At 35.4% G+C, this 19,272-nt stretch overlaps 1 protein-coding gene across 5 annotated transcripts in view; it reads left to right on the forward strand.

Moving 5' to 3' along the window:
• TSC22D2 (TSC22 domain family member 2) overlaps window positions 1-19,102 on the forward strand; it is a 58,125-nt gene extending 39,023 nt beyond the window's left edge. For 3 of the 5 annotated variants that reach the window (NR_130136.2, NM_014779.4, NM_001303264.2), the window contains 2 exons: window positions 9,756-9,807; window positions 11,056-19,102. Coding sequence is in view for 2 of the 5 variants with exons in the window: in NM_014779.4 (NP_055594.1) it covers window positions 9,756-9,807; window positions 11,056-11,316 (313 nt within the window). In the remaining 3 variants the exon portion in view is untranslated. Of the gene's footprint in view, window positions 1-9,755; window positions 9,813-11,055 lie in introns of those variants that run through there. The other 2 variants (XR_007095779.1, XR_007095780.1) reach the window with 1 other exon arrangement.
• The last annotated feature ends 170 nt before the right edge of the window (window positions 19,103-19,272 follow it).

The raw sequence follows: 19,272 nt of genomic DNA on the forward strand, positions 1-19,272 counted from the left end.
TTTGGCCCCACTTGTCTTTTCATTGTTTATGCAAGTTTGTTTTCTCCTATGGTTTGAGTCGCCTACTGCATTCTTACAACTTTCAAATCTAGACTTCTAGGCCAGAGATTACTCTGGAGTTCTCAATACCTATATCCAGCAGCCTTCTCTCTATATTTCTCCAACAGGATTCTACATTTCCATGTCTCCAAATTCAGTAGTCCCAAGTGAAACTTAAATTTCTTTTCTCGTCTTTATTTGCAGTGCTTTATTTGCACCACCTACTCCCCACCCCACTTCATCCCCCCACCAAATCTAGCCACCTTTCTGTGATACACCAGCCAACTCCTAGTTGCTCCAAGAATAAAGCCCCAGGCATCCTTAGCATTTTCTTTGTCACAGATAGTCTCTTTTCCTTATCATCTCACTGATCTCTCAAGATTCTGTATGCTTCAATTGAAACTTGAAATATGTTCTAATCCCTCTCACCCTGTTTTTCCTCTGAGGTACCAGTGTACATCTAAGTCTAGGTAACTGTCAGTCTTACACTATTTTTCCAGTCACCAAGAAATAATTTAAAGTAGCAGGTATTATAGTGTCGAGTTTTTAATTTGGGCTTACATCCCTTGGTATGTATTATTCACTCCTCAATAATGTGCTGTCATCAGATTAGGTAGTTGCTGCTATGTAAACAGTAAAATGAAATCTCTTTCAAGAGAGCCTGCTCTAAATGTTAAGTACTTCAATATCAAGGAAAATGCCACCCTCCTCATACCCCTTTCTCCTGTCCTTTCTTAGGTCTTACTCAGAGGAAGGAAATAATCTTTTCAACCTGTTAAACTTTGCCTATTGTTAGTCTATTAAGAAATAATGATTTCATCTAATAAGAAATAATGCTACGTAGGATGACTGCTTCCTGTAATCCTAGCTACTCAGGAGGCCAAGGTGGGAGGATTGCTTTAGCCTAGGAGTTAGAGACCAACCTGGGCAACAGGGTGAGGCCCTGTTGCTAACAACAAATTTTAAAAATCAGCTGGGAATGGTGGTGCACACCTGTAGTTCCAGCTGCTTGGGTGACTGCGACTGAAGCAGGAGGATTGCTTGAGCCCAGGAGTTTGAGGCTGCAGTGAACCATGATCATGCCACTGCACTCCAGCCTGGGCATCACAAGACCCCATCTCTATAAAAACAACAACTAGCTAGCACACAAAGTCAAGTATCTTAAATAAATGTAATTCCATATTATTATAACATTTAAGTATTAACTTGAAATAGGATATTAATTAAACTTTGTTTGGAATATTTGGACTGTAATAGTGAAATTGCTGTGCAAATTTTACTTTTGTATCAGTCTTCAATTTCTCCAGACTAAATTCTTATCTCTTCCATTTTGAATGTTTTAATAGATTTTTAGTTCAGCTAGTTTTAAAACGAAGTTTCTTTAAAATGGCTCTACAAGAAAAAAGTAATTTTATCAGAATTTTACTACCAAATATTAAAATGATCCCCCCAAAATATCATAACTTGGAAATGTGAAAGAGATCTGGAAAAAGAAGATAATGTTAATTTTAATCTTGTATATATATATATATATATAATTAGGGGATAAATTTTTAATGTAACATTTTTATTGTGTAAGTTTACATGACTTTTTGTATTATAGATCTTTACCACAAATTTTTACCATTTGCTTACCAGATTTACTTTGAATAAACAGAAATCGCTGTACTGGGAGCTATAAACATAATTTACATCACATTCTCAGATGGTTATAATTCACTCTAAACCAAGAAACAGGATTTTTACAAATCACAAATATCACTTATGTTGATCATTGTTTTGTTTGTTGAATATAGTACCTTATCTTGCAGAATGAAATAGTTGCTAGAGAAAATAGAGTTGGCACCTCTTCCCTCCTTTCTCCCTTTCCTATTTTCTGTCATTGCTTTTCCTGTCTGCCATTTGTTCATGTCTGGAGTTTACACTGTAAAAGATAACTCCTTCATGAGTCATTTTCATTTTGGAACATGTTTTTCATTGTTCTTCAAAATGTAGTAGAAGTACTCTTGCTTCTATCTCTGTCCTGCATCTGCCTGCCTTCCCAAACAGCCACTTTCTTAATGTGTGTATATCCTTCTTTATGTGTATATAAGCAAATCAATGTATATTATCTTCTTTAATGTAAATTATAATGTATTGTGCACACATCTGTACCTTTACTTTTAAAGATCTCCAGAATACATTGTTCCCATCTCAGTACTAGAAAAGTATCTTTGTGGTTTTTTAATAGATGCATACTATTTAATTGAATGGATGGCTACACCATGATTCATTTAACCAGAAGCATTGCTGTTATAAACAGTGTTGTAATGAGTAGCCTTGTTAACATTATTTGCTATGTATATAAAATATCTAGAGGATAAATTCCAAGATGAATGATTGCTGGCTCAGAGAGTGAATAATTAAGGGGAGGTCGGGAGAGGAGAGAAAAGGAGAGAAATCTGTTTTGGAAAATAGTATTACATTATAGTTTTAATTTGTATTTTTATTTTATGATTCAGATGTTGAGTATTTTTTCATGTCTTTCTTGTTAATGTTCAGTGTGAATTCTCCCCATTTTTCTATTGGGCATCTGGTCTTAACAGATTTTAGGAAAATTTATTAGAGACTTTTTAACTTTAAAAAAAAATTAGACATGCAGTTACATAGTCCTTTCCCACCAAAGTATTAAAGAAATTCTAATTAAATGTGTTTATTTAAAGTTCTTAGTACAGATGATAAGACTGACTCTAGACAAAGGGGGTCTAAGGTAGGAGATGGACTTCATATAGATTGCATGCTCTTTAATCTACGCTTTACTGGCTAGCCATTTGACTGAAATTAACAAGATAAATATAAAATATGCTGAGGGCATTGGTGAACAAGGTTTTTGTAGAAGATGCTGACAATAAATATCAATATATAAATATTTAACTGAGTTTTTAATAGTTCCTTGGTAAAGGCATTCATCACACCATTGCGGGACTGGCTACTTGAGAAAAAGTAACACTTAAGTTTTGTAAGTAGAAATTTTACCTGCTTGCTCAGGATGAATAATAGCTTTAAAATAACTTATTTTGTGTTACTGCTAATAATAATCTCTATGGGGCATTTTGGGTTTTTTTTTAATCATGAAATTAAACATTATTTGTTTTACATTGGTAGAACTGATGGTCAATAATTAGAATAACATAACATTTTGAGTTCTTAGTTTAATTTATTATTAACTTCACCCAAGTTTTATTCTTAACCATAGAGGTTTGCATTCAGCCAGAGGTTGTCTATATGAATTTTATTTATTTAGGCCCTTTTGAAAGGAAAATTGTTATTTGTTCTTAAATTAAGCTGTAAATATTTTTTAGTCTCCTCTTACAGAAGAGTGGTGGATTTTTAAAATTATATTTAACCTCACAAGTTTACTGAACTGTAGATTGATTAGATTTATTCCTTTGTAATCAGTGACTCGCATTTTCTTAATTTTCTTTCTAAAAAAATAAAACATGCATTTGTTAGAGAATAGGCAAAATGTTACCCAGGTTAGAATTAATGCATTTTAGTAGTAATGATGTTATTACAGTGCTTATTTTGGGAGATGGGAGTGGGTGGAATAAAAGTTATAGATGATTTACTGGAAACAGTGTATGATTCCTTAGGACTGCCCCCAAAGAAAGGTATAGCTTCCTTCTACTTGTGAGTTTCTGAAGAATCAGTTTTAGTTGGTTTGGGCAAGGGGGTGTGAGCATGAAGTATGCCAAATTTACCAACTTAAAGGAGTTTGTATTACAAAAGATTTGATTGTGTAATTTGGAGAGTTCCTGTAGTGCATTTATAGTTGTGATTGTAACTCAATGCAAAGTTAGAGGAGTCTTTGAGTAAAGCAAGGCATTTATTTTATTTATTTATTTTTTGCAGTATTTTAATTAAAGATACATAAAATTTTTAAGGCATCTTCAGCTTTCTAACAAACCAGAAGAACATTTTCGTTCTTAGCAATTAGGTAAACTGTATCAGCTATAAAAAGATCACTAAGCAAGTGCCTTTTCTAAGAGGTTCCCTCCCTTATTCTCAGAGCTGAACCTCTTCTAGGAATTTGCCAGATAAGATAAATGGCATATTCTGAGCATGGTTTAATCTTTGGATCCATGCTTATGGTTTCACAACTTAACATTTGGTACTTAGTTAAAGCACTCTTAATAATACACATAATTCTGGATTTATTTCAGGTCATTAGAGATTATTTTTTCACAGTCTTAGTATTATGGAAGAAAATATGTGTGTTTTGACATTAGGTCCAGGTTTGAATCCTGTTCCTAGTATTGTGTCTTTGAGCAAGTTACTTGACCTCACTTTCCTCAACTGTAAAATGAGAATGTTGCTCAGGCTTATTGTAAGGACTCATTAAGATAAAGGTGTGCCTGCCCTAAAATAGACAACCATTAAGTGTTCTTTTCCTCTATCTTGTTGATTTGTTAATTAGCATTTATATCTAGGGAAAGACAAAGTAGTCAAAATATGTCCATTTTGAAAAAGAGAAGTAGTTCTCTTATTTTTTTTAGAGACAGATCTGGCTCTGTCACCCAGGCTGGAGTGCAGTAATGAACCCTGAGCTCCTGGGCTCAAGCAGTCTTCCCACACAGCCTCCTGAGTAACTAGGACCGTGGGCTTGCTTTCTTTTCTCTTTTCTTTCTTTTCTTTCATGGGTTCTCACTATGTTGCCCAGGCTGAATTTTTTTATTTTAAATAAGTAGTCACCATGTCTCTGTCCACATTACTACAGATAAAGAAAAAAGTTGGTTTCTCATAGTTTTTTAAAAATAGAGATCAAGGCTGGGCGTGGTGGCTCACGCCTGTAATCCCAGCACTTTGGGAGGCGAAGGCAGGCAGATCATCTGAGGTCGGGAGTTCGAGACCAGCCTGACCAACATAGAGAAACCCCGTCTCCACTAAAAATACAAAATTAGCAGGGCATGGTGGCACATACCTGTAATCCCAGCTACTCGGGAGGCCGAGGCAGGAGACTCGCTTGAACCCGGGAGGAAGAAGTTGCGGTGAGCTGAGATCGCGCCATTTCACCCCAGCCTGGGCAACGAGAGTGAAACTCTGTCTCAAAAAAAAAAAAGAGAGAGAGATTAAATTAGATTACCTTTTTCTTTAGTGATTTTAACTTGTGACAGAGTTGGAAATTCTTCATCCATCCTCTTGCTTTCTCAGTAATGTTGCAAGTAATCTCATGGTAAGAGTAAGGAAACCTAGGAGGAAAAGCTGTGGTGGAGAGCCAGTTAGGATCAATTAAAAGATGAACAGCATGGAAAGCCAACCTGCCTTACTGTAGCATTGATACTCTGAGTTATACTTTTTCTGTGAGTGTAAGTATAATTAGCTTTAAACACTGAATTCAAGCTCATTTAGTTATTTTGGAGCAGCAATTCCAGTAAATAAATATTTTCTTGTAGGTCTTTCTTACTTTCCACAGCTCTATATTTCTGTTCATTCTCTCCATATCCACAATTTTTAATGCATCTGTAAATGCTAATAAATGTTTGATTTTTATTCTAAGAATGATTCATAGTAAATAGAAAGTTTATTTTTAAAAATTATCTTTTGACTTTATTTAGCATTTCCAGTTTACCATAATAGTTTAAAAAAGAAAATTCTGAACTCATTTTTCCCTCATGCTTCTGTAGCAGTAATTGTAACACTTGATTTAAAATTGACTTATTTCAGTTTGAGTATGTATCTATACATACACACTAATCTGAAATATTTATACTACCACCATTGTAGGGTACCGGGTATATATACTTTGTGCTGGAAGTAAAGACAGGAAGCCTTTTCTTAGGGAGCTTAAGTTTGGAAACTGGTTAAACCATCAAAATATAATGTGCTGAATATAATAATTAAAAAGAAAACAAGGTATATAGTATTATAACATTAGGTGAAGGAAGGAAATTATTGATTCTGCTTCAGTTGATCTTTCTCATTTTAAAAGAGTCAAATCTCACTATGATAACTTTGAACATAATAGAAAACATCTTGATACCCTCATTGAAACAGTATTTTTAAACCATATTCTGGGATCTTGAAATAAAATAGTCTCTTATTTGCTTAAGACTACCATATTGGTATCTCCATCGTAAATATGGCTAAAGCAGTGGTTCTCATACTTTAGTTTCTATCTGAATCGCCTAGAGAGTTTGTTAAAATAGATTACGGGGCCCCGCCCCAAGAGTAAATCTGGGGTGGGTCCAAATATTTACATTTCTAACAAGGTCTTGGTGGGTCCAAATATTTACATTTCTGACAAGTTTCCAGGTGATGCTGATGATTCTGGTTCAGGGACTACACTTTGAGAACTGATTTATCTGAACTCAAAAAATTTTAATGCCTTCCTCATATGAACCATTAATTGTTTCAAATCTATCATATCTAATTACTATCAGTATGCATTGAGTTACTATGTGCTAAGCACTGAATTCACTTATTCACAAAGATGAAGAAGTTATGGAACCTTTCTCAAAGAGCTCAATCTAATAGGATCAACAGTGGTAGTATTACAATACTCAAAGTAATCACTGTCTGTATTGAGTGCTCAGTGTGCCAAGTACTATGCATTATGTAAACTCATTTAATCCTCACAATTGGCATATAATCCTTATTTTAAATGAAAAAACTGAGGTCTAGAAAGGTTAAATAATTTCCCAGAATTCATATAGTGAGTATATGGAGGAGCCAGAATTTGCTATTCTGCCTTTTTGCACTATAAAAAGTTTGCGAAGATTGGTAGACCCCAGAAAGGATGGAGTAATTGGCTCTACCTTAGAAAATCAAACAGCATCACAGAAGAGATGGCACTGGAGCATCTTAAGGGACAGGTCTAAGATAGCCAGATGAATTGGAACTGTGAGCATTTCCAGCTGAGGGAGCAGTTTCTGCAAAGCCAAGGAAACCCGAGAGAACATATGTTCCACAGACTACAAATAGTTGTATAAGACCATAACACAATAGGCAGATGGAGTATAAGAGGAAAACAGACTGTATAAGGCAGAGGTCAAAGTCATAAAGAATTTTATATGCCAGGCTAAAAAGTTTTAAAAATAGAATTAGGCTTCTTAATTTTTCCTCCTATAACTTTCATTTGTAAGCCAGCAGTTCTCAAAGCATAGTCAGACAGTAGATTCCACATCATCTGGGAACTTGTTAGAAATGCAGATTCCTGGTTCCATGCCTACTGAATCAGAAACTCTGAGTGGGGGAGCCCAGCAACCTGAGTTTTAACAAGACCTCCAGATGATTCTGGTGCATGCTAAAGTTTGAGACCCCTGCAGTAGGTTATAGAATTCTTGAATAATAGCCTTCAAGATAGTTAAAGGTCACTATAGTGGTAGTAATTATATTTGACACTGATTTATTCTATTAGAGTACAACACCTAACAGTTGAAATATTAACACCATTTAAGGGATACATCTTCATCATGATCTATTTATACCTTGCAAACCTGTTTCTTCTGTTGTCATAAAAGAGATCTTAGGACAAGAGTTTGTTAGGTCAGCATTCAAAGAATAGCATGCTAACTATTCTTCCTTAGCTATGGGAATCATTCTAAAACTCGCTGACTGATTTTAATTATCAAAAAAAAACCCCAGTAATTTTTGTTTTTTTTACTGCTTGTTAATACATAAAACTGATGTTGTAGTTAGTATTTAAGGTGTGCTATTTAAACCAAATGTGTTGAAGGAATCAAATGATTTAAGTCATGACATGACTTAAAAGTAATTCAATCTTTCCTTGTCATGTCAATAAAAATATAGAAAGTATAATCTGGGATTCCCAAGCAAACTAATTTAAATGCCTGTCACCGTCTTTTTTGCCAAAATGTGTTCAGTATTTGTGGTGAATATGTCTGCATGGTATCTGGCACTGAAGTATATACTAAAGCGTTATGGTTGACTTAGTGGTTCTGTAGTTTATAGTTACATATAGTCATACTTTGCACAGCTCACTAAAAGCATTTAAAGCCCAGCACATATAAAGTATTTGTTAATGATCCATAAATCCTTTCTAGATATTAGATATACAAAACCTCTTTTCATCTTAGAAATAGTAGCAGCAAGAAGTGAAGGTAGTATGCTGTAATTAATGTGGTTAATGCTCAAATAAACAAACGTAGTTTCCCATGTAATGATTCAAGATTTCAAGGATTTAGAAGTGGAAAGTCCATTGAGGCATTGACATCAACCCCTTGTTTTACAGATGGGGAAACTCAGATCCAGGGAAGTTAAATAGGTGATTTGCTGATGTCCCATAGGAAGTGAATAGCAGGATATCACAGGACAGGATATTTCTGAGCCTCAATCTGATACAACATTATGGGTCCACACCATCTAAAGTAAAGTAGTTTCCAGGTATTTTAGCACTAAAATCTTAGGTGGAGTATACTTTATGAAGAATATTTAGTAACATATAAAAAATTATCTTTTCGTATTGATACAATAAGCTACAGTATCAGATTTTTCTTTACAAGAGTAATTTTTAAAAACCTAATAACTGTTTTTAGAAATAAAATTCATTAAAAAACAATAAAAGGGTATAAATTCCAGCTATTCTTACTACTTAATACATGGTAGAATATAAACCACCAAAGAGGACAATTAGCCTTCTGTGTTATTATCATACAATTGCTAAGGTGATATTTGAACTTGGAATGTGCTTACAGGCTGGATAACTTTTCAGTTATTCCCAAGAAGAACTGATCTAAACCACACATACCTTATAGGTGATTTTTGCCAGCAAGTAACCTACAGTCAAATACATGTAGGTCTGCCAGAATGTTGTTTCTTTTTGTTTTTTTTTTTTTTGTTTTTTTTTGAGATGGAGTTTTGCTCTTGTTGCCCAGGCTGGATTGCAATGGCGTGATCTCGGCTCACTGCAGCCTCTGCCTCCTGGGTTCAAGTGATTCTCTTGCCTCAGCCTCCTGAGTAGCTGATTACAGGCACCCGCCCCAAGCCTGGCTAATTTTTTTTGTATTTTTAGTAGAGATGGGTTTTCACCACGTTGGCCAGGCTGATCTGGAACTCCTGACCTCAAGTGATCCACCTTCCTTGGCCTCCCAAAGTGCTGGGATTACAAGCGTGAGCCACCACGCCCGGCTGAATGTTGAGTTTCTTGTTAACCAATCCTACCCAAAGACTTTCTGAACCATTTTTAGAAGCCATTAAGTTTTTTTTAAAAAACTAGATGTTAAAGTATAAAACTTATACCAGAAAAGTCTTACTAAGAGGAGGGACTAGAAAAAAAAAAGTCAAGCCATCATCTGAATTTTACTACAATAAGTAATTATTGGAATTTCTACATGAAAGGCAATTAGAATGTATAGTTGGTTAATGTAGAAATTTAAGAGATACGGAGAAGACACTGCCCATTTAAAATGTATCCTTTTAAAACCACTGAACAGAGAAATTCTTAATACAATTGAGAGTTAGTTTTAAAGTAGCATACATGTATTACAGGCAAATTAGAAATGTTGGCACTACAAAGGACCTGTAGAAATCATCTATTTACTGAGACTTTCATTTTAGAAATGAGAGCTTTGAGTACTGAAATTGTCAGAACAGAATAAGCTATTTTAAATTACTGTATATTTGGTTTTAAGTGAAACACAAATGTCTTTTACATTCTTTTAAGAGTTGGAAGGGAGGTTAAATTTTTTAGAATAATAACATATTCTAATTTTTTCCAGTGCATCTGGGGGAGGTGTTGTAGCCATTGACAACAAAATAGAACAAGCAATGGTAAGTAAAAGTTTACAGTTCTCCCATTTCATAGATTGTTGGTTGTATGGAACACTTAGCTTTTGTCAGTTTTAGAAAACAAATAAGTTATTTAAACCAAAGATGACCAAATCATGTTTTTTGATAATGAGATTTAGTTGAAGATGCTAGAACGTTGAGAACTTTTAGTCTAGAAATACTATTTAAGTAGATATTTCTTCCATTTGAATATCTCACATTTCATGCATTATCATTGATAAGGGCCATTGGTGAGGGGGCATACATATTTAAAGACAATATGTTCCCCAGATATTTCAGCATTGAAAATACTTTAGAGTGAAAAAGAGTATTAAAGCAAAAACAGCTGGAGGTCTGATTGAAGTAGACTGTAAGTAAGCTATAAGTAGGCCAGGCACAGTGGATTGTGTCTGTAATCCCAGCACCTGAGCTGAGGTGGGAGGATCACTTGAGGCCAGGAGTTTGAGACCAACTTGGGCAACATAGCAAGACCCCGTCTCTACAAAAAAAGTTGGTATTTTTGTTTGTTTTGAGATAGTCTCGCTCTGTCACCCAGGCTGAAGTACAGTGGCATGATTTTGGGTCACTGCAACCTCCACCTCCCAGGTTCAAGTGATTCTCCTGCCTCAGTCTCCTGAGTAGTTGGGAGCACAGGCACACACCACCACATCTGGCTAATTTTTGTATTCTTAGTAGAGACGGGGTTTCACCATGTTGGCCAAGGTGGTCTCAAACTCCTGACCTCAGGTGATCTACACGCCTCAGCCTCCCAAAGTGCTGGGATTACCGGTGTGAGACCTTACAGGACTGTTAGTCTCAAACTATTTTTTTAAAAATACCAAAATTTTAAAGTCCAAAATTACAGATCACTTTAAAGCAGTACTATGACTAGTTTAACATCAAACAGCTTTCCGTTGGAATATTGTTCCTTTGTTCTCTTTATCTACCATTTTAAGCATGTGATTTTAAACTTTTTTTTTTTTTAATTCTAAGCTTAGTTGACAATTTAAGAAGCTAGTATTTTTTGGAAATCGTCCCAAACTTTGAAAAGAAAATTCTGGGCTTACTGCTCTGGTTGGGAACTGGATTTTTTCCAACCCATCTTCCATAGGCTCGGTCAAGATAAAGCAGAAACATTAAAAGCAAGAGCAGGAAAACTAGTATAAAAACTTAGCACCAAGTAGGCCAGAACCAGATAGCACCACCTTTATCTTTTCACTCTTTTGACATTCCTAATTTTGTTTTTCACAGGATCTGGTGAAAAGCCATTTGATGTATGCAGTAAGAGAAGAAGTGGAAGTTTTAAAGGAACAAATAAAAGAATTAGTTGAAAGAAACTCTTTACTTGAACGAGAAAATGCACTGTTAAAATCTCTTTCAAGCAATGATCAATTATCCCAACTCCCAACCCAACAGGCCAATCCTGGTAGCACTTCTCAACAGCAAGCAGTGATAGCACAGCCTCCGCAGCCAACGCAACCTCCACAGCAGCCGAATGTCTCCTCAGCATAAAGCTTTCTTAAGCCTCATTAAGAAAAAAACTGAAAGCAATCTATCCTTGTGTGCCACTGGTGTTCTTTCCACTTTATACGAAAGCAAGTAGCCATGCTTTGGTTGTGTGTTTGGCCTTTTCAGTATTAGACAATCATTCTACAAGAGCTTTTCCTCTCTCTGAGATGTCATGCAGCGCTGTTGATGTCCAGTTCTATGTCATCAGTACACAAGGAGAATAATAGATGGGGTTTATTAAAGCGAGCAAAGTCTGCATTTTACCTGGTGCGCATGAGTGGGGTCTTTAAGAGTTTTGGTGGCTCTCCCATGTTTCCTATTACCCATGGATTTACCCTGAGCCTTCCTATCACATTATAAATAACAGTTCATCTAAAGAGCCACTTTTCTTTCTGATTCAGTAACATTTGCCTACATAAGTTTTCATTTATTTGTGTTTTATTTATTACAGGGCTGCTATTTTCATAATGTACATGAACAATGTCACAGAACTTTTTTAATTTTTTTGAATAATTATAAGTATCAGTAAAGGAAGTGAAAGACAGGATTGCATTTAATAGATAAAACGTTTAGGCAATAATTGAACAAAAGAATCCTGGCATATTTCTAACACTAATGGCAATTTACTTATGGTATTTATTTTCAGTAGTAAAGACCCAGCTTGAATGTAAATTTTGTATAGTGTAAGTATGAAGAACATAGTGCAACTGTACAGGTAGTCACCAGTTATTGTGATATGATAAATAATTGGGCTATTTTGATGAAGAAAACTTTGTTCATTTGTTTCTACTTTCTAAGAGAAATTGCCACGATTCCTCTGCTTTTCAACATTTCGTATGACTTTTTTTTCGGGTGGGAATAAAAAGCTGTGAAATTGTTCAACCTACTTTGTAACCAAAGAAGCAAAGCTGTGTAATGGAGTTTGGTTTTTTTTTGTTGTTTTTTTTTTTTTGTCTTTTTTTTTTTTTATAATGCACATTCTTTATGTATTTTTATTTAGTGTTTTCTCAGTCACAATTTTCTTTACTGTCTAGCATGATCTGCATGACCTATAATCTTTGAACCACTTTCGTACCTCATGTTTTTATCCAGCACTCTTATTGTAATATGTACTAGTCTGTGAACAATGTCAAATAAAAGAGAACGAACAGGTAGTTTGGTGGAGCTGAGCTAGTGTACAATACACTAGTTGTAAAAAAAAAAAAAAAAAAAAGTGAGCCATCTTTTGTTCATTTAAAATGGTGTTTTGAATTTCGTATGCAGAAAACGTTTTGTTACATTGCAGATTTTAATGTATTTAATAAATGCAACATGCAGATTAAGTGCAGTGTATACTGAGTATTTAAATTAAAATGTACATTTCATAAATACAGTTTCAAAAGAAAGCATCATTTTGTGTATACTAACACATTAAGTGTATGTCAGAAATTGATGTATAAATATATATTTTAACATTTTCTGAAATTAAACTGCAGTTTTGTTGAAATATTTGGCTCTATATGTGTTCAAAATTTGACTAGATTTGTATTTTCACAGTTCAAAATACTCCTTAAAGACCTGTTAATAATGACTTACTGATAGTTCTTAAATTTTCAAAGTAAAACAATTTAAAGAATGCAAAAATAGTGAGCAATATTTGTACTCAATATTCATATTATGTTAGTGATACTTAAGTAGGAAATCCTTGTCTACCAAAACTTTTACTTGAATTCAGAAAGGTGCCTGTAGAAATTAACATGCACTGCATCTGTAGCCAGCTAGCTAATCAGAGTTAATGAGAACCAGTAGTTAGTTCTCCGTGTTAAAAGACTTATTTGAAGTAAAAATTTAATCAGATTAGCCACAAACAAACAAGGCATAAAATTGGGATGTACATGAGATTGCCAAATATTTTCTATTCTAGTTGTGCTGCAAGACATTGAACAAAATGTTAATGAATAACATTATAAATCAAGGAACTAAGTACATAGGCTTGAGTAAGCAACCCTAAGGATGTGTAGTAAGATTCCAAGTAGAGCTGCTACAGGTGAGATACTTAATGGAATGTGAAACTTCACTGTTGGACTGTTAACCGAAAAGGTTTGCTGGCTGTGCCCCTCCAGTGCTAACTGTGACATGTGATATTTAATACAGGTGGAGAAAAACTAGTCTTAGAAATGGGATTTTTGTGAAAATAGATTCCATTTTGATTCTGGGGCTGGAAAAACACTTCATAAACAAAGTAATAGTCTCCAAGGAAATGAATAATAAGGTTTAAAATGGTAACAGCAGTTATTACTACTTTTATATTAAGAAAAACAGTAGAAAAGGAGAGAAAATATGGGTAGTTCACAGAAGAGATAAATGGCAGTTTCTAAAGGTTCAACCTCTAGTAACCTAAGAAATGCAAATTAATGTTTTTGGCGAATTGTAATAAGTGTCCTAAGTAGCAGGACTTAACATAGAAAGAAAGACAGGCTTTCCTGTGTACTTTTAGAAAGTAATTTGGCAGTATGTATCTAGAGCCTTAAATAATAAGCTTTCCAGTGTAACGACAGGAGAAGATACTCAACTCATGGTCCATTGTTCAAAAATGCAGAATTATTGTGGTGTCTGCCCTCTGCTTTCCCATCATCCCCTCCCCTCAAAATCCAAACTATCCCTACTGTCAACCCTTCCCCCAGCTGATTGTTTAGGATCTTAAGTAACTTCCAATTCAGCTTTGGAGATTTAGTCTCCTGCTCCAAATAGTTGTAAATATTAACTGATTGAGATCCCAATTTGGAGGCACAGTCTTACAGGAATGCCATCTATCTAATTCTGTCAGTGTAATGCCCATAGAGCAAGGTCCCACATAAGCTTTTCTGTTTTAATTTAGCCGGTAAATCATAAGTAGAAATTTTTCTGATACGGTAATTGTCTACAATTCAAACCTAACTTTCCCCAAATAAAATTTAGTTTGTTCCGATGTGATCTCACAGCTTGCCACACCAAAAACAAATAGTAGGGGTTAGGAGGCATTAAATAAACAGTTTCCTTAACTCCTGATTGTCCAAAATAGCTGAATTTTTCCAATTCTATTTATAATATCCTATGCTAATTAGAAGTATTGAGATAACGTTTTATAATCAAGCCTCCAGTGACTGGGGATCACAGCTGCCATTATTCACAAGAATTTTCACAGGTGAATGATTATATTTCTCCAAGTTGCAAACTCCAGTAATTCATGGACCTTTTTTTAAAAAAAAAAAAAGTCTTAATAGAACCAGAATATCTCTGTTCTTGAAAATTTATCTTTGCAGAACCAGAAATAGCTAATTGTCTGGAAACAATTTTTAAGATTTGAAGTCACATTTTTAAAAGAAGCTTTATGGCTCAGTGGCAAGCACTTTGTGACATTTCTTTAATAATCCTATGAAAAGGACAAAACCCAGCCCTCAAAATTGACAATTTGAGGACATAATAAGCCAACTGATAATGCAGTGAGGAATACTTGTTACTATGTACAGTCAGGGATGGTTTTGTCAGGGTAGGTTTCCTCAAAAACATGACACCTGAGTCTTGAAGGTCATAAGAGCCAGAGGGAAGGGTGTTCCAAGCACAAGAAAAGAGAACTCAATGGCTTAAAAGTATAAACAAGGCTCCTAGGGCAGCCACAGAATTGCATTGGAGACAGGCAGGCAGTGACTTCCCCACTGACCTAGTATTTTGGCATCTATTCAGAAAGCAAGAATGATTTATTGAATGGTTTTAAGCAATGGGATACTATGCTCAAATTATGCTGGATGTGCACAATTCCAGTGGCAGATGGGAGGTAGGTTAGAGTAGCTGAAACTGGAAGCTGAGAAATAATTTAGGAGGGATGACAATCCGGAAAATAAATGAAAGGGCAAAATTACATAGGCAATTTTGTGAAGGTCATGAAGGAAGTTTGTCTTGGGTCTTTCTGTACCATTTTCCTCTCCACAATGAACATCCCATTCCCAGTGTCAGGTATCAGGTGCCTATTTTCTTTTTTTCTTTTTTCTTTTTTTTTTTTTTTGAGACAGAGTCTTGCTGTGCTCAGGCTGGAGTGCAGTGGCAAGATCTCGGCTCACTGCAACCTCCGCCTCCCAGGTTCAAGCGATTCTCCTGCCTCAGCCTCCTGAGTAGCTGGGATTACAGGCGTGTGCCACCATGCCAGGCTAATTTTTGTATTTTTAGTAGAGACAGGGTTTCACCATGTTGGCCAGGTTGGTCTTGAACTCCTGACCTCAAGTCATCTCCCCCGCCCGCCTGGGCCTCCCAAAGTGTTGGGATTACAGGCGTGAGCCACCGCACCCAGCTGCCTATTTTCTTGTCCCTCCAAAAAAAGATTAAAGAGTCCCAACTCATACTTGAAAGTTTGACTCGGTCTTTTCCTTCCAACAGTTATAAATCTGTGAAATGAAAGTCTTTGTTTCCTTAAAGGGATTTCAAGAATTTAACAAAAGGGTTGGGGAATGGAACCTTTGCTGTCACTATGCCTGTCTCTCAATTCTACCCTAAAGGTAAACTAAATGGAATCCTTTTATGGTGACTAGGATTAGGATGTTGATTCCAAAGCCTTTCCCTAAAATCTATTCCTTGCTCCCTGGAAAGGATAATACAGGTTCTGGCCCCCACTGTAGGTACTGACAGCCCAAGGCAGAATAGGTTTTGCTAGGCTTTAGCCTTTTATTCTTTGACATAGGTCAGTCCTGCAGGCTTCTTTTTTCTAAGTCTCCTGCCTATCCAAAACCAGACCTTTTCTCCCACCTCCTTCTGCTTCAAGCCTCTTAATAATCCATATTTCTATTTTCTAGCAATAGTAATAGTTTATTATTTAGTGATGTATACTTGCACCCCATTTACTCCTTTTCAATATTTCAGGATACATCTTTGTCCTGTATTTCTGTACCAGTTCACAGAATTTCTACAGCAAGATCCCTTTAAATGTATGGCTTTCCTTCATAGGTTGCAAGGATTACTTTATACAAGTGCTACTGTAACTATATCTTTTGTGGAGTACAATTGGTATGACATGCTGTGTTCATAGATGAAAATGCTAAGTGAGGCACTCTGAAGCAAGTTAAAGTTCACAGACATTCTTGCTTGCCCACCACCCCCCCGAACCCCGCCATGGAATCATCAAATAAGAAAAATAAGACAGATTTTCAGATTGGTGATGGCAAAGTAAGACGCTGGTATTTTGCACTGGCGCAGTCCATTTAGTTGTTGAATTTGTTCAGCATACCTGGATGGTGAGTGAGTTAGCTTTATTTTTCATTCTCAGCAGGGAAACTGATAGACTAGGCAGTTTGGGGAATTTTCCCATTGTCTACTGTCATGGGTCCATAGTATTTAAGTTTACAGACTACAACATTGTCCACAGAAGCCATATTTATCCCCTTGGAGGGAAGGGAAAGGTGTGCTAACTTAGATCATAAAAACAACTGAATTTTAAAACAAGGCAAATGCCACAGTTCAACTTCTCCATAAAAAAGTTAAGTTCATCTCTCCATTCTTTTGCATGCCTACAATATTTCCATATAACAACTGTAAAATACTCTTGCCTGCTGCAATCCAAATGTTATCCGGATCACAGTTCTTGCTGTCATTTCACAGGCATGCAATGTATCTATAGATAGGTCATATCATACCTGAGGAAGATCAGAGACAGCAAGGGAACATTTTCCCCACACTTGAGATGGAAATAATAACAGGTCAGTGGCTAATAAAAAGAAACATGTATGACTTTGTAAAACCCTAAAAGTGATGTTTTCAAGAAATTTAGGTTTCTTTTTTTTATTTTATAAAAAAAATGTTGACATGCAATTTAATTCTATTTCAATTTAGGTGCTGCAACCTGTACTGGATGTTTGGGGATAGAAAGATGAATGGGACATGATTTGTGTGCTCCAATGAGCTCAGTCCAGTGTAAGTGTAAAAGTTAAAGTGCCATATTGTTTATTCAGAGTATATGTTATAGTTTGTGAACCTTATATCATTTGTTAAATGAAAGGTTTTTATAAATCAACAGTAATATTGCCATCCCATGTAAAAATCCTTTGATATTGCCAGGAAACAACTTTAAATCACCAGAAAGCTTTAACATCAAATAATACTTTTAGAAGGAGGGGAAAAGCCTTCCACCTCGACATCGAGCCTATGAAGTATTCCCTAAAAAAGAGGAACTAATCTGAGAAAAGTTTACACATTTTTAATACTCTAAGTTGTAGATAATGAAATTGATTTAAATCAAAGTTAACTAGAATAGGATTCATGTGTCATGAATTATATTGTCTATTGTCTCATAAGCAACAAGTGACACTTATTATCTTGGCTGACAAAATCAGCTACCATTTAATGAACCAAGTTAAGAATAACTCAGGTGACTGATACCAAAAATAAATCTCTAATACAGCTGAGAATCCAGAAACACAAATAATATGTTGAGTAAGTAATAAAAGTGACATTTCAAATTAGTAAGGAAAAAATGGATTATTCAACAAATAGTATGGGATAGCATAACAATTTAGAAGAAATATAAAGTTAGATCTTTCACAAAAATTAATTCTAGCTAGACTAGCAGTTAGTCTTCTACTTTTTGGTTACTCCCTTTTAGAAATTGGAAGCTATGAAGCTATATACCCTGTCCATTTGAAAATGCACATAAGCAAAGAACTTTACAAATAGGTTATAAAGAGAAGCTCAATCTCAGCAAAATAAGGGAAGTGCACATTAAAACACAAGAAACCATCTCAGATCCAACTAATATTTAGCGTGCATACAAATCAAAAGCTGGAAAGGGTGTGGAAAAACAGGAATACATTGCTAGTGAGCATACAAATTGGCACAGCCTCTTTTAAAGACAATTGTGTATCACCCATTAAATTTTAAAAGTCACATACCCTGTGACCTAACAATTCCAACTTTTAATGTCCTAAAGAAACATACATGTGTTCACAAGATAGCCTGTACAATGATGTCAATTGCACCTTTGCTTGTACAGTAGACCCCCTTATCTGCATTTTCACTTTTTGAGGTTTCAGTCATCCAAGGTCAACCACAATACAAAAATATTAAATGGAAAATTCCAGAAACGAACATAAGTTTTAAACTTCAAACCTTTCTGCATAGTATAATAAAAATCTCTCACTATCCCTCTCCATCCTGCCTGGGACAGGAATCATCCCTTTGTCCAGTGTATCCACAATGTATACACTCATTATATACCCATTTTATAATGCCCATTAGTCATTTCTATTATCAGATCATAAAAAAACATAGTACATAGAGGGTTTGGTATTATTCATGGTTTCAGGCATTCAGTGAGGGTCTTGGAAAATATCCTCCATGATGGGGGAGCTACTGTAATACTATGAAATTGGAAAAACCAAAATACTCATCAAGAGGATGGACTATGGTACACATGATGAAGTATTAAGTATCAATGAAAAAGAGAGAGTCCTACATGTCCGGCATGGAAGGATCTCCAGGAGACAATGTTAAAAGTTTGGGGGAAAAATTGAAAGACAATACCTGTAATACATATGATACTAGTGATGTTAAATCACATCACACACACACACACACACACACACACACACACACAAATACTGTATAGTGTACTTCTACAAGTACATATTTGTGTATTATATAGAGAGAAGGTCTGGAAGGATACTAACCAAACTGTCAACAGTAGTTTGGTAGCGTGCATTAGCTTTAACTGTAATGTTTGATGTTTTTGAATATGCATTTATGTATTGTTTGTGTAATGACAAATTAATAAATTAGAAATAAAATAAAATAATGTGTTTTCTTCTTGTCTGCTGCTAATGTTTCCCCCTGGTACCTGGGGTCTCATCATGTTCAGCATCTTTCCTCCCCAGGAATATCTTCCCCCCCTACCTGTTTCTTCTACTTCGCCTTCTCCCATGGCTTTTTCACATCAGTATTTATACAGGCTCAATAAATAAC

The sequence above is a fragment of the Homo sapiens genome, chromosome 3 (genome assembly GCF_000001405.40).
Source record: "Homo sapiens chromosome 3, GRCh38.p14 Primary Assembly".
In the NCBI taxonomy this organism is placed as follows: domain Eukaryota; kingdom Metazoa; phylum Chordata; class Mammalia; order Primates; family Hominidae; genus Homo; species Homo sapiens.